A 12,293-nucleotide genomic window follows, 5' to 3' on the forward strand; every position below is an offset into this window, starting at 1 on the left:
TCTCTCCCAACCCTTCCCCACCCAGCTTTCTATGGATTCGGCTATTCTGGATATTTCACGTAAATGGAAACACAATTATGTGGTCTTCTGTGATTGCAGCTTCTTTCACTTAGCATAATGTTTTCAAGGTTCATCCATGTCATAGCGTGTCTCAGTACTTCATTTCTTTTTACTGTCAAGTAATATTCCACTGTATGGATAATATCACACTTTATGCATTCGTGTAGTTTCTCTACCTCCTTCCCAACTCTTGTCTCTTTTTTATTGTAGGTGTGAAGTGGTGTCTTCAGTAGTTTTGACTTGCATTTCCCAATGGCTAATGATACGGAGCATCTTGTCATGTGCTTGGTGATCATTTATATGTCTTCTTTGGAGAACTGTCTATTCAGATCATTTTTGTATATGGGCTGAGATAGGGAACCAGATTCATTCTTTTACATGTGGATATTCAGTTGTCCCAGTACCATTTGTTGAAAAGATTATTCTTTCCCCACTAATTTGTCTTGACACCCTTGTTGAAAATTAGTCGACCATTTCTGGTTTCTCAGTTCTATTCCATTGAACTAGATGTCTTTGCTTACAACATCTTGATTACTGTAGCTTTCTTTTTTTAAAGTTAAAAAATTTATAAAGTAGAAGTGGGGCTCAGGCTCGTCTGGTGGCCTAGGCTCGTCTGGACCCCTGGCTGCAAGTGATCCTCCCGCCTCAGCCTCCCAAAGTGCTGGGATTACAGGCGTGAGCCTCTGGGGCCTGGCCACAATTGAGTTTTGTTTATTGATCTCGTATCCTGCAACTTTGCTATGAGTTCTAACCTTGTCTTAGTCCTAATAGTTGTTTAATGGATTCCTTAGGGTTTTCTATATACAAGGTCATGTCATCTGCAAATAGAAATAGTTGTACTTCTTCCTTTCCAATGTGGATGCCTTTTATTTCATCTTATTGCCTCATTGCCCTGGCGAGAGCCTCCAGAACAATGTTGACTAGAAATGACAAGGGCCCATGCTCATCTTGTTCCTGACTTAGGGGAAAGCTTTTAATCTTTCGCCTTTAAGTCTGATGTTCGTTGTGGGTTTTTCATAGATGCCCTTCATCAGGTTGAGGAGGTTACCCTCTATTCCTAGTTTGTATGTTATTATACTTTTAAATAGCAGCAGCAGAGCATGTAAGAAGATATGAATAAATACATGGCGAGAGGTTCGCAGTTGATTAAGTGGGGGGAAGAGTTTACTCCATTCATCGTGAATCTGATCTCTGTGAGTAGGAGGATGTGTTAGTTGAACAACTTTAAAAAAAAAAAAAAAAAAGAGGGCGAGGTGGGTGGATCACGAGGTCAGGAGTTTGAGACCAGCCTGGCCAAGATGGTGAAACCCCGTCTCTACTAAAAATACAAAAAATTAGCCAGGCAAGGTGGCGGGTGCCTGTAATCCCAGCTACTCTGGAGGCTGAGGCAGGTGAATCGCTTGAACCCAGGATGCCGAGGTTGCAGTGAGCAGAGATCGCACCGCTGCACTCTAGCCTGGGCGACAGAGCAAGACTCTATCTCAAAAAATAAATAAATAAAAAATAAAAATAGAGACAGGGTCTTGCTGTATTGTCCAGGCTGATCTCGAGCTCCTGGACTCAAACCATCCTCCTACCTTCGCCTCCCAAAGTGCTGGGATTACAGGTGTTAGTCACTGCCCCCAGCTTGAACAAACTTTGTAAGATGCAGGCTATTGTGCAAAATTTTAGCACTGTAAAAAATATCCCCTTATTTTATCAAATATACCTTTATCTTGAGGCATATGTCTATTTTCACCTACTTGTAACTTACACTCTTGATTACTTTTGGTTGTCTTTTTACTCTTGTTCTAATTATCTTTTTTTTTTTTTTTTTTTGAGACGGAGTCTCACTCTGTCGCCAGGCTGGAGTGCAGTGGCGTGATCTCGGCGCACTGCAACCTCCATCTCCCGGGTTCAAGCAATTCTCCTGCCTCAGCTTCCTGAGTAGCTGGGACTACAGGTGCCCACCACCATGCCCAGCTAATTTTTGTATTTTTAGTAGAGACAAGGTTTCACCATGTTGGCCAGGATGGTCTTGATCTCTTGACCTCATGATCTGCCCTCCTCGGCCTCCCAAAGTGCTGGGATTACAGGCATGAGCCACCACGCCCGGCCCTAATTATCTTTTATTGTACAGAAGCATTTTATTTTCATCAGAGTACATTCATCTTGATTGAGATATTTTACAGTAGTTTCTCTCCCCATGCTGGCTGGGCGTGGTGGCTCACGCCTGTAATCCCAGCACTGTGGGAGACTGAAGCAAGCAGATCACCTGAGGTCAGGAGTTTGAGACCAGCCTGGCCAACATGGTGAAACCCCATCTCTACTAAAAATACAAAAATTAGCTGGACATGGTGGCACACACCTGTAATCTCAGCTACTCAGGAGGCTGAGGCAGGAGAATTGCTTGAACCTGGGAGGCAGAGATTGCAGTGAGCCAAGATCACACCACTGCACTCCAGCCTAGGTGACAGGGCAAGACTCCCGTCTCAAAAAAAAAAAAATTATCTTCCCACTATAGTAAGAAAGTAACAGCGTTTTATGACTTGGAAAGTGTCTTCATATAAAATCTTATTTGAATCTCCCAAAATATAGCAGAGATGATCCCCATTTTACAGATTAAAATATGGATACCAGAAATGTTTGAATCATTTGTCAGGATATTGGCAGCAGAGCAGGGGCTAAGGGCATGCTATCTTTTTAAGGCACTTCATATTAATTTTTGTATTTATATACAAAAATTATACACTCCTTGACTCCTTGACTTCGTCGAACATATGACATTCAAACATATCAATAGGGTGGAGGAGAATCCAAGGATAGCTTGCCACTGTATTCATTTCTTATGGCTGCCATAACAAGTTACTGCAAGCTGGGTGGCTTAAGACAAGAGAAATTTATTCCATCACAGTTCTAGGGGCCATAATTCCAAAATCAAGATGTCAGCTTGGTTCCAAAGACAAGGGATTGTTGCTTCTTGGAGGCTTAGACGGGGCCGTTACTCCGCGCATCTCTCCCGGCTGGATGGGTGGCTGCCGGCAGTCCTTGGCATCCCCTGGCTTGCAGCTGTCCAAGTCCAGTCGCTGCTTCTGTCTGCACCTGGCTGTGTGTCTGGATTAAGGGCACACCCTATTCCACTATGACTTCATCTTAGTGACATCTTAAATACTTCTCCAAAGACCCTAATTCCAAACAAGGTGACATTACAGGTACCATGGTTAGGACTACAATGTATCTTTTTATTATTACTATCTTTTAAAGGGATAGGGTGTCACACTGTCATGTAGGCTGGAGTGCAATGGCACGATCGTAGCTCATGCAGCCTCAACCCCCTAGGGCCTAGCGATCCACTCACCTTAGCTTCTCGAATAGCTGGGACTACAGATGTGTGCCACTATGCCGGGCTAAGTTTTTAATTTTTTTGTAAAGACGGGGTCTCCGTGTTGCCCAGGCTGGTCTTGAACTCCTGGCCTCAAGCAATCCTCCCGCCTTGGCCTCCCAAAGTGCTGGGATTACAGCATGAGCCTCCAGGCCTAATGTATCTTTTGAGGGGGCACAGTTCAGCCCACAGCAGCCACTAACAGAGTTCTCTTCTGTCCTCGCTCCCCCACCAGGTGCCCCTGTAGACAATGGCCCTCGTGTCTGCCGATTCCCGCATTGCAGAACTTCTCACAGAGCTCCATCAGCTGATCAAACAAACCCAGGTAAAAAGTCACCACCCTCCATTCCCAGATGGGAACATGGGCTTTGATGCTGAGCCGTGAAGTGGGGGTGGCATTTGTGTTCAGAGAGATTGGACTCGCAGGAACCAAAATGACGTAATAAAAGTGAAAGGAGGGGAATTTGGTGTATGGCTACCATTCCTGTTGGATTTTCTACCATGTACAGGATTTCATGATTCATTTTGTTTGACAGCTATCCTGAGATAGAATTCACATGCCATACAACGCACCCATTTAAAGTGTATAATCCAGTGGTTTTTCGCAGCTCACAAAATTGTGCAACCATTAGCACGATCAATTTCAGAACATTTTTAACACCCAACAAAAATGCCCCATATCTTTTCCTTCCACCCTATTAATCCAGGCAAACAAAAACACTCTTTTTTTTTTGGAGACGGAGTCTCACTGTGTCACCTAGGCTGGAGTGCGGTGGCGCGATCTCAGCTCACTGCAACCTCTGCCTCCTGGGTTCAAGCGATTCTTCTGCCTCAGTCTCCCTAGTAGCTGGGATTACAGGCACACACCACCATGTCCGGCTAATTGTTTTTGTATTTTTAGTAGAGACGGGGTTTTGCCATGTTGGCTGTCTCTACTAAAAATACAAAAATTAGCTAGGCTTGGTGGCGGATGCCTATAATCCCAGCTACTGGGGAGGCTGAGGCAGGAGAATCACTTGAACTCGGGAGGCAGAGGTTGCAGTGAGCCGAGATGGCGCCACTGCACTCCAGCCTGGGTGACAAAGCAAGACTCCATCTCAAAAAAAAAAAAAGCCATTTTTCCCCTATTTGATATCTTTTCTTTCACAGATACAAGGGAGATGCGTATTGGTGCCTGTAGCTCACTGCAGGCTATCGGGCATGCTCTGCCACATTTTGCCCACGATACTCAGGGTTTATAGCTACACAAGGATCAGTTTGCTGGCAGTTGTGCACCGCACAGCCAGGAAGGAGTAGATCCCAGAAATTCCTTCCCAAATGGTATTCCTTTTAGACGTAACCTGGAGAGTAAGAGTCAGAAGATGCCGGCACTCATTGCTAAGTGAAAGATGCCAGTCTGAAAGGTTACGTGCTGTGTATTCCAACTGTAAACGAAAAGCAAAACTAGAGAGTGAAAGGATGAGCGGTAGCCAGGGCCTTGGGAGAGATAGGATGAAAGGGATGGATAGGTGGAGCACAGAGGATTTTAGGGGGTGGAACTCTTCTGCAGGGTACCATGATGGGGGGCACGCAACATGATGCGTTGTCCAAACCCATAGAACGGCAGAACACACAGAGTAAACCATCATGGGGATGGATGTAGTTAATTATCTAACAGTATTGGCTCATCAGTTGTTACAAACGCACCACTCTAATGCAAGATGTTAACAATAGGGGAGACTGCGCAGGGCAGAGCAGGTATACATACAGGAACTCTGTGCCATCAGCTCAGCTTTTCTGTAAACCAAAACTGCTCTAAGAAGAGTTTATCAATAAAATACATTGTAAAATAAAGGAAAAAAGGGCTGGGCGTGGTAACTCATGCCTGTAATCCCAGCATGTTGGGAGGCTGAGGCGGGTGGATCACCTGAGGTCAGGAGTTTGAGACCAGTCTGGCCAAATGGCGAAACTCCATCTCTACTAAAAATTAGCCGGGCGTGGTGGTACATGCTTGTAATCCCAGCTACTAGGGAGGCTGAGGCAGGAGAATCGCTTGAACCTGGGAAGTGGAGGTTGCAGTGAGCCAAGATCGCACCACTGCACTCCAGCCTGGGCGACAAGAGCGAAACTCCGTCTCAAAAAAATAAATAAAGGAAAAAAAAGATACAGGCAGATTACGCATTCCATTCAGTCATCCACAGTTAGAACAGTTTATCATCATCCCATACAACCAGGGTGTCCCTCAGACAGCTGCTGCCGAGTTCCCAGACTCCCATCTCACCCGTCAGCTTCCAAAAGCAGGCGTGGTCCTGACAGACACAGGGCTTCGCCCTTTCAGGCACCCAGTGTAACTGACCTAAGAGATGGCATTCTCTCTCTCTCAGCCTCTCTTGAGGTATGAGTACAATATTGGATTTCCCTCATTGCATAACCCATTTAATTTGTTCTGTTAACTCGGCTACTGTTTCTCCTCTCCATTTGTGATTGGTTTTCACCCAAACTTTTCCACCTTTGTAAGGGATGTTAGCTTTGGCCACTGTACCTGGTCCAGATTGCAGCGGCAGCAGTACTAGTCTAGCAAGTATCCCCCCCCAACCCCAATCCATTCCCATTTATATAGGGTGGGGTTACACAGGTATGGACTATTGGCTGTCTTGAGCACTAGGCAGCTAGCTAGCTGTGTTCACTGTTAACCTCATTTTGCAGGTTGAGGTAAAGGCGCAACCCACCCATCAGGCACTTAAAAATTCTCACATAAAGGCTAAAAAGCATAGTCATAATTTCTTTCTTAGGATCTGTCTCAGTTTCCAGCATCTGCAGTTGCAGCTCTGCTCCCAGGATGACTGATATGGGAGGAATTGCACCAGCATTCTTCCCCACCCCTTCTTCTCCACATCAATTGATCATACCTGTATGTGTCTATTTCTGGACTCTGAATTCTGTTCTGTTGATCTATATGCCAGTACCACACCATCGTGATTACCGTAGCTTCGTAATAAATTTTGAAATTGGGAAGTATGAGTTCTCCAACTTTTTTTTTCTTTTTCCAAGATTGGGGATAATCTGGGTCCCGTGAATTTCCATATGAATTTTAGGATGAACTTGTCAATTTCTGCAAAGAAGTCAATTAGAATTTTGATGGGGATTGCGTTGACTGTATAGATTGATTTGTCTCTTTGATAAAGGACTATCATTAAAGATATCACTTATGATTTAACTTTAATGCCTTCTTTTTTTTTTTTTTTTAACAGTCTCACTCTGTCACCCAGGCTGGAGTGCAGTGACATGATCTCAGCTCACTGCAACCTCAGCCTCCCGAGTAGCTAGGACTATACGCACATGCTACAATGCCCGGCTAATTTTTGTATTTTTAGTAGAGGTGGGGTTTCATCATGTTGGCCAGGCTGGTCTTGAACTCCTGATCTCAAGTGATCTGCCCACTTTGGCCTTCCAAAGTGCTGGGATTACAGGCTTAAGCCACTGCACCAGGCCCTTTAAGGCCTTTTATAATGCTTTTGCATTAGTCAAAGGAGAAAATCATCTTGAACTCCTGAATTTGGATTTAGAAAATGAGGGCCATAGCCGGGCGCCCTTGCCTGTAATTCCAGCACTTTGGGAAACCGAGGCAGGTGGATCACGAGGTCAGGAGTTCAAGACCAGCCTGGCCAAGATGGCGAAACCCTGTCTCTACTAAAAATACAAAAAATTAGGCCGGGCGCATTGGCTTACGCCTGTAATCCCAGCACTTTGGGAGGCCGAGGCAGGCGGATCACGAGGTCAGGAGATCGAGACCATCCTGGCTAAGACGGTGAAACTCCGTCTCTTCTAAAACTACAAAAAATTAACCAGGCGTGGTGGCGGGCGCCTGTAGTCCCAGCTACTCGGGAGGCTGAGGCAGGAGAAAGGCGTGAACCCGGGAGGCGGAGCTTGCAGTGAGCCGAGATCGTGCCACTACACTCCAGCCTGGGCGACAGAGTGAGACTCCATCTCAAAAAAAAAAAAAAAAAAAGAAAATGAGGGCCGTATTTTGGGGATGGGGACTCTGGCCTGGCTGGCAGGGTACCACAGCAGCACAAAGGGCCACCGTCATGTCCTGCTGCTCTTTTCCTTACAGGAAGAGCGTTCGCGGAGCGAACACAACTTAGTGAACATCCAGAAGACCCATGAGCGGATGCAGACAGAGAACAAGAGTGAGTAGCTGGGCTCAGGAGAGAAAGGGGATGAGATGGGGCTAGGGTGAGTATGGCCAAGACTGTGACCGAGGTGGTCATTGTATTCAAAATAGATTTGCATGTATCTGCATATTCCAAAATGCAGCAGGAGGGACAGCTTTCCGTTAATCTGGGTGACCTGAAGAACTAAAATCCCTCTACTCTGAGGATTCGAAAGGCAGTGAAATGAGGCTGTATCTAGGGAAGCTTGCCCTTAGAGCACACAAGCGCCCCAGTTAGCTGGTGTTTTCTAGAAAGGAGCTTCCTTCCCAGGCGGCCCCTGCATCTGCCCTGAGGCCCTCAGGTGGTGAGATCCTGGGGCTGGGGCTTTCTTACTCTGGGTAACTCTGAGAATTGTGTTTTCCTGGGTCCTGACAAATATTTTCTGTGAGTGTCATGATGGAGAAAAGGTAAGACAGTACTCTCGCAGATGTAGGGATGGCATTTGTACCATATGGAAATGCGGACTCATGGAGCCTGGGGGCATCCGCCTCAGGAGCACTCCTGAGCCAGCAGAGCTCTGACTGCAGCTACGGCCTCTCTGTGCCTCCACGAGTGTGATTCCGGTGCATGGAAGCAGTGCCATGCTACTGTGCCTGCCCTGGCCCTGCCTCCTTATCCCTGTGTTTCCTCTGCAGTTTCTCCCTATTACCGGACAAAGCTGCGTGGCCTCTACACAACCGCCAAGGCCGATGCAGAGGCTGAGTGCAAGTGAGTACCGTGCACCCACTTCATCGCCGCTCCCTCCTTTCCTGGGGGCTGGGCTGCAGGTCCATTTGGACCAAGTCCCCAGCCTGCCTTCCTCCCATGGATAAGCTGATTGCTACTCCCAGCCTCTCGCTTGGGTCCCGCATTCCCTGGCCCACTGCCAGGCCCACTCTTCCAGTTACCTCTGCTGCTAATGCCTTTACAGAAGGTGGCAAGGCGTGAGTCAACACTGCCGTTTACTGGCTCTATGACCTTGGCAGAGTCATTAAAATAGGGATATCAGGGGCTGGGTAGCTCAGATCTGTAATCACAACATTACAGAGGTGATTGGGAGGCCGAGGTTAGAGGATCACTTGAACGCAGGTGTTTGAGACCAGCCTGGGCAACAAAGTGAGACTTTGTCTCTACAAAAAGTTTTTAATTAGCTGAGCGTGGTGGCATGTGTCTGTAAGCTTGGCTGGGAAGTCATACTCAGATGACCTGAAGGTTTTATGGTTCTGAGATGGAGAAGTTTCACTTCCAGAAAACTCCTGCTTTTAAAATAATCTTAAGGCCGGGCAGGCACAGTGGCTCATGCCTGCAATCGCAAGGTGGGTGGATCACCTGAGGTTGGGGGTTTGAGACCAGCCTGGCTAGCATAGCGAAACCCTATATCTACTAAAAATACAAAAATTAGCCAGGTGTGGTGGCGCACGCTACTTGGGAGGCTGAGGCAGGAGGCGGAGGTTGCAGTGAGCTAAGATCGTGCCACTGCACTCCAGCCTGGGCAACAGAGCAAGGCTCTGCCTCAAAAAAAAAAAAAAAACTAAAATAAAAAAATGATCTGGAAACACTGTTTCCTTGAATCTCTGCAGGAGATTCAGGAACTTGAACATTACATTCCTCTACTTTGAGAACACACTGGTTCTGAAGTCTGACTGTGCCCAGAGGCTCTGTTTATTTGGGGTGGAGCTCCAACATTGGTATTAACTATCTGACATTTCCTCACTAGTAGGATTCATGCTTTACACTTTTGGCACAGAAGAGGTGTCTCTGGTGGGTCATATTAGACGGCACAGGATGCTGTCTGTGCCATTGGTTAAAGTGGTATTTTCCACGTTTCTCTTGTATCAGATTACTGCTATTTTCCATTGTGTGATTGATCGATTAAGACAGGGTCTCAGTCTGTCATCCAGGCTGGAGTGGAGTGGCGTAATCATGGCTCACTTCAGCCTCAAACTCCTGGCCTCAAGTGATCCTCCTGCCTCAGCCTCCTGAGTAGCTGGGACAATAGGCACCTGCCACCACTCCACCTAATTTTTGTATTTTTTGTAGAGAGGGGTTTTGCCATGTTGCCCAGGCTGGTCTTGAACTCCTCAGCTCAAGCGATCCACCCACCTTGGCCTCCCAAAGTGCTGGGATTACAGGTGTGAGCCTCTGCACCTGGCCTCCATTGCATAATTAATAAGTGTCTTGGGAGATACTTTTGAGACTGTAACTATCCTGTTCATATCAAACACACTAGTTTTAGCATCCATTTATGATTTGTGCGTGAAACAATTGAGATTTTTTAAACTTCCCCCAGGAGATTCTGATGCCCACCAAGGTTTGAAAGCCACTTCAGTAACATGTCACAGAAGACAGTTTAGGACAGGCTGTATAAAACTGTATCCTCCACACAGGCCTGGCAACAGTGATGAGACTCTCAGAGTTCCCTTTGGCCCCGTGGCTCTTTCTCCTTCTCTGCTTTCTGGGGTCCCGGTGCTCACAGCCTGAGGTGGCACTGGCTGGGCCATCCCTGCATTGTACGCAGCAGGCAAGCTGTTCCTTGTCCCTGCGTTGGTTTGGCTGCCCTTGGCCTACCTCCATCTTCTGGCCCTGGCCTGGTGAGGTCCATGAGTCACATGCCCTGGGGCACCCCCGGACACCTCCCGAGATGCTGCATCACACCCAGTTCCTGTGCATCTCCTTCCTGCCGCACAAAGGTCTTTAGAACTCCGGGTCATTTCAGAAAGGCTTGCCAGAGGAATGGACTGGGGTTTGCCATGGTATCAGAGGAAAATAAAATGACCCAAAGTGGAGTTTGTGCTGCTGACTACTGTGGAAATACGTATTTTTTTTGAAATGGAGTTTCGCTCTGTCACCCAGGCTGGAGTGCAGTGACACAATCTCGGCTCACTGCAAGCTCTGCCCCCAAGGTTCAAGCGATTCTCTTGCCTCAGCCTCCCAAGTAGCTGGGATTATAGACGCCCGCCACCACGCCGGGCTAATTTTTGTATTTTTAGTAGAGAAGGAGTTTCTCTATGTTGGCCAGGCTGGTGTCGATCTCCTGACCTCAAGTGATCCTCCTGCCTCAGCCTCCTAAAGTGCTGAGATTACAGGCGTGAGCCACCACACCCATCCCTGCTGTGGAAATACTCTTTGGGAAGATTCCCTGAGCTTTAGGATGAAGGAGCCTCACTCCAGCCAAGTTCTGTGTTTGCTTCTGCTGGGTTCTTTGGGTTCCTGCCACCCTGGAATCCCCATAAACTAACTTCACAGAGGCTTCCTGGGGCTTCAAGGCCATGCAGGGGTCTGTCTTTGGGTTCAGCCTTTCAGAAAGGATGAGGTCCTTCCACCCAGTTCTGCTCTGGGCCAGCACCTCTCCCCAGAGTCTCCCCTCCTTTTGTGTGACCCTCGGGCAGACCTGAGGCCCCCTCTCCTCATTTCAGGAGGTTCCTGCAGCCTTTCTGCAGGGTTTGCCGAAGGCAGTTTGCCTGTGTCCTTTCCTCTCTGGGATCCTGTGTTCTCTTAGTTTTTGGCATGCTGCTTTCTACCACCTTGTTTTTTATGTTCTTAAGACTAAAAGACACATACTGAAGATTTCCAGTTTTCTTTTTTTTTTTGAAATGGAGTTTCGTTCTTTTTGCCCAGGTTGGAGTGCAATGACGCGATCTCGGTTCACTGCAACCTCTGCCTCCCAGGTTCAAGCGATTCTCTTGCCTCAGCCTCCCAAGTAGGTGGGATTACAGTTAAAGACGCTCGCCACCACACCTGGCTAAGTTTTGTATTTTTAATACAGACGGGGTTTCACCATATTGGTCAGGCTGGTCTTGAACTCCTGACCTCAGGTGATCCACACTCCTCGGCCTCCCAAAGTGCTGGGATTACAGGCGTGAACCACCACACCCGGGCAGATTTCTAGTTTCACCATGAGGTTGGTCTGAATAACCCAGCCCACCTTGACCAGAACAGGAACCTGCACACACCTGTCATTCCACCTGCGCAGGAGGCTACTGTGAGAACCTCTGGAGTCCGGGACCAGCCTGGGCAATGTAGCTTGACCCAAAACAGAAAAAATGGAAGAGAAGTCTATGCTATGTACGTTAACCAAACCCTCTTTCTCCCTTCTCCCCGCCCTCAGCATCCTTCGGAAAGCTCTGGACAAGATCGCGGAAATCAAGTCTCTGTTGGAAGAGAGGCGGATTGGTGAGTGGGAGAGAACATGCTGGGAGGTCCTTTGCTAGGACAAGAGGAGAGGCCCTGCGGGCAGCAGTCACCCTCCTGTGGGGGCCTGTGGCCACCACCTGCTGGCATCCTCCCATGGAGGCTCTGGCAGACTGGCTCTACCACTGAGAAGGGACAGGAGGTCATTCCCAGTGCCCAGAGGCAGGGGTTTCCCAGTTCTCCCTCAGCAGCCAGAGATCATCCCGCCCTGGCCCCTCATCTCCTGCCCCTTCTGGGGCCTGGGCCAGTCGCCCCCTCCTCTGCCATGGCCCATGCCCATCTGTTGCCCTGGCTGGTTTCTGCAGAGCCACACGCTGTGTGTCGTAAAGCCAGCCTTCCAGACCCCCTCAGCCTGCATTAGGCTCTCCTACCTGTCTGCCCTCCCAACAATCCCATGGTGGGCAGAATCTTGGCATGTCAGTGTCCCCACACAGCCATGCTGGTTCTGTGTGAAGTCAAGTGGGGTGTCCAGCTGTGCCTGAGGAGGTTGAAGGTGCACATTTAATTTT

At 48.0% G+C, this 12,293-nt stretch overlaps 1 protein-coding gene across 3 annotated transcripts in view; it reads left to right on the plus strand.

The window, feature by feature from the left end:
• Positions 1-12,293, plus strand: part of SGF29 (SAGA complex associated factor 29) — a 37,871-nt gene that overhangs the window by 23,479 nt on the left and 2,099 nt on the right. For all 3 annotated transcript variants that reach the window (XR_001751821.2, XM_017022894.2, NM_138414.3), the window contains exons 2-5: positions 3,657-3,746; positions 7,515-7,590; positions 8,250-8,322; positions 11,702-11,766. Coding sequence is in view for 2 of the 3 variants with exons in the window: in XM_017022894.2 (XP_016878383.1) it covers positions 3,672-3,746; positions 7,515-7,590; positions 8,250-8,322; positions 11,702-11,766 (289 nt within the window). In the remaining variant the exon portion in view is untranslated. The remainder of the gene's footprint in view (positions 1-3,656; positions 3,747-7,514; positions 7,591-8,249; positions 8,323-11,701; positions 11,767-12,293) is intronic.

The sequence above is a fragment of the Homo sapiens genome, chromosome 16, assembly GCF_000001405.40.
Source record: "Homo sapiens chromosome 16, GRCh38.p14 Primary Assembly".
Lineage (NCBI taxonomy): Eukaryota > Metazoa > Chordata > Mammalia > Primates > Hominidae > Homo > Homo sapiens.